At 45.9% G+C, this 3397-nt stretch overlaps 1 annotated feature.

Annotated features, from left to right (window-relative positions):
• Positions 398 to 1597: an enhancer, noted in NCBI's record as "BRD4-independent group 4 enhancer chr5:151326719-151327918 (GRCh37/hg19 assembly coordinates)". NCBI's record gives its function as "activates an origin of replication core promoter dependent on BRD2, P300/CBP, MED14 and CDK7 cofactors, and independent of BRD4, by STARR-seq in HCT116 cells {active_cell/tissue: HCT116}" and the evidence as "EXISTENCE:reporter gene assay evidence [ECO:0000049][PMID:35650434]".

Raw genomic sequence — 3397 nt, forward strand, 5'->3', positions numbered from 1 at the left:
AGGTGAGCAGCCACCCCAGGCTGGAGCAGGTAAATCAGGGGGTCTGGGAACCTCTGCAAACAAAGAAAATCTACTTGAAGTCACCTTTTCAGCCTAGAACATTTTATTCTAGTGAAATCTCTCTCCTGCCCCAATTCACTCACTGCGAAAACCAACATAATTTATCTTCTGGAGGGAAGGGTGCAGACTTCAGCGTGGGTTTTTTTTTTTTTTTTGGCTCAAGCAACAGCTCAGCCTAAATCATTGGAAGAAAAAGTGGGGGAAAGAAGGCTAGAGCAAGTTGCCAAATTGCAAGTTTGGAAATAAAATCAACATGGGCATTATCTTAAAGGTTAGGGAGAAGATGGCCCCAGTGTTCTTGAGAGCCAGGAAAGGTTTCCTATCAATGTTCTCTTTGCCCAATTTCTTTTGGAATCACAGACATTTTTTTCTTTTATGAGCCTTAGGATCAGGAGATCTTGCAGTTCTGGATGCCCCCTTTTAGGAAGTGAGGAGGCTAATATTTGCTGAACACTATGTGCCTGGAAGGGTGCAGGGCATACCCCCCATTGTTCTCATCTTCTCAATAACCCAAAGAGGTAGGGGAAGGGTCAGCCACATCTCACAGATCAGAAACACCTTGTCCAAGGTCACACAGACTCTAAATAGCAGAGCCAGGACTGGACTGCACTATCCTGATTCTGAAACCTATGTTATTTATATTGCTACCCTCCAAGGATCATGGGAATAGAACTAGAGATTTAAAAGGAATGTTGATGCCTCTATTTAATGTTCTGCCACACAGGATCTGCTCCAGAGTCCCAAAAGATTCATCTTCTATGTGACTCATTGTCCTGTGGAGCCAACCCATTTTACTGATGAAGGACATAATTGTTAACGGACTTTTACTGAAGTGAGCATTACCTTTTTTCTTATGCTCCATGGACATCTCATCAAGGACCCTTGAAGTGAGGTTACCATTCTTAGCTCCCACAGCGAAGAGATCTCAGGAGACTGGACACTGAAGAATCTCATCTTGTATAAAGACAGACCAAGGTATGATGGTTTTCCTTTCAAACCTATAATCCTTATGGGATTCATTCCATTCTTTTCCTGCTGCCAGGATATTTAACAAGTATTTCCCTGACAAAGGAAGACATTCATTGCAGAGCAGATGAGAGGACTCCAAGGTGACTTATTTAGGCCATGCAGGGGTGAAAGGCCTATGTTAGGTCAGGCCAAAGGTGCTCACTCCCTGAGATGGGCAAACAGCTTGGCTAAGACACCAAGAGATCACAGCCTTCTCATTAAGGCTCTGTGCAGATGGTGGTACCCACCCTTCCTGCATGTGGTGTTTGTCTGCAGAGGCTGAGAACATGCTAGGGCAAAAGCCAGATGCCTGGGATTTCCCAGGCTGTCTGTCCAGTGAGTAATAGTCCGTTCTCAGGGGCTGCTGGGTGCTGCAGAGGATGTTTCTGGTGAAGAGAGGCTAAAGGGAGGAGACCCGGGTTTTTGTTCTTTGTCCTAATTTATTCTGTTATCTTGGTCCAGACCTTCCTCTCTGGCCTTTAGTTTCATTTTCCCTAAGAAGGAGATTTCAGTACTAGCTCTTTCAGACCCTGAAAAAAAGAAACACACACTATGTCTCCATCCTTCATTGGCTACTTACAATGTGCAGCCATGGGGTAAGCACAGGAGCTGCATGCCCTCCGCTGGAGTGAAAAGCATCGTCAGTATTTGCTCCCTGGGGCTTGCCAGCTCCCCTTCTCTGGCTTCTGACTGTTGGGTTCAATTCATGGCCACTCTCTGCCCTCCTCCCTGATCCCTGGTGGTGGCCCATGACTACAGTTGTTTGATACCGGCTGTGCCACCTCTGGGAGATGTTCTGGTCTTGGTGCTAAGACTTATAAGCTGGGCCTGGGTACTGTTTGACCTGGGGTCCTGGAATGACCACTTAGTGGGTGCATTGCTTAAGCAGGTTTCCTAACTTACAGATTTATTTTCTTCTTTTAAGATTTCCCCCTTTTTATATCTAAGGGTTGTTGTGAACCTGAACATGAGATGAAAAATGAGGAGGCTGTTTGTAAAGAATCCTGAAAATATGAGACAGTGCAGTGGGGGTGATTAGGAATGAAGATCTGGCTGGGACAGACTGCCTGGGTTTGAATCTTGTCCCTGTTGCTTCTGAGCTTGTGACGGGGGACAAGTAACCTAACCTTACTGTCTGGGTAAGAGGGTGCTAGTACTCACCTCACAGGACTTTTATGAGGATTAACATTTATCTACAGTAAGTACTGAGAACAGAGCTTGACATAGAGCTAGAACTCAATAAAAACTGTTCTTGCCCTTACTGTTGTGTTTTTATTACTGTTAGTGTGGGCTGCAGCCTATGTAGAGAGGGAATCTTAAGTGGAGGTAGAGAGGGATGAAGCAGGCAAGACTTCCTGAAGGAGGAAGGCTTTAGCTGGTTTTTGGAGTCTGGCTAGAGGGAAATTCTAGAGGGAAGGGTGTAAACAAATGCCAAAATTGGAATGTTGGCAGCGTTGGAGAGAGAAAGATGCCCCAGGGAGAGATTTAGCTCAGCAATACTGAGTTATTGAGTGAGTACAGCTTTTCTTCTGCGGCTCACACGTATGTGTGGGATGCTGCTGTGGTCTGAATGTGCCTTCCCAAAACTCCTATGTTGAAACTTAATTTTCAATCTGATAGTATTAAGAGGTGGGGGCTTTTGGGAAGTAAGTCATGAGGGCTCTGCCCTCATGCATGGGATTAGCATCCTTTAAAAGAGGCTGAAGGGAGCCTGTTTGTCCCTTCCACCACGTGGGGACACAGCTAGAATGCACTGTCTTTGAAGCATTGAGCAGGCCCTCACCAGACACCAAATCTGCTGGTTCCTGGATCTTGGACTTCCCAGCCTCATAACTGTAAGCAGTACATTTCTGTTGTTTATAAGTTACCCAGTCTATGGTAATGCATTATAGCAGGCTAAACAGACTAAGACAGGGGTCTTTTCGCTTTACTCAGTTGAAGTCAGGCTCTCTCTGACCCCATTTGGGGGGAAATGTGGAGCAGGAGGAGAGCAAGGGCTTTGCATTCAGACAGACCTAGGTTTGAATGCCGGCTTTGCTCCTCACTGGCAGAGAGTCTTTGAGTTAATTATTAATCTTAACCTCCTTGAGTCTCAGTTTTCTCACTTGTAGAGATGTTGAGGGAATTAATTTAAATGAAAAGATTCTTCTCTCCTTCTTTCCCCACTTCCTCTCTCGCGCCTTCCTTCTTTCTCATCCCCACCTCTCTCCATTCACTCTCTGGAAGAGAGAATCTCTGGCTGCTCCTACAGCTGCCACACATGAGCACAGCTGGTTGCCAACTCTGGCAGGGTGCCAGGGAGATGGTGCCACGGGAAAAAATTGTAAGT

This window comes from Homo sapiens, chromosome 5 (assembly GCF_000001405.40).
Source record: "Homo sapiens chromosome 5, GRCh38.p14 Primary Assembly".
Taxonomy (NCBI): Eukaryota; Metazoa; Chordata; class Mammalia; order Primates; family Hominidae; genus Homo; species Homo sapiens.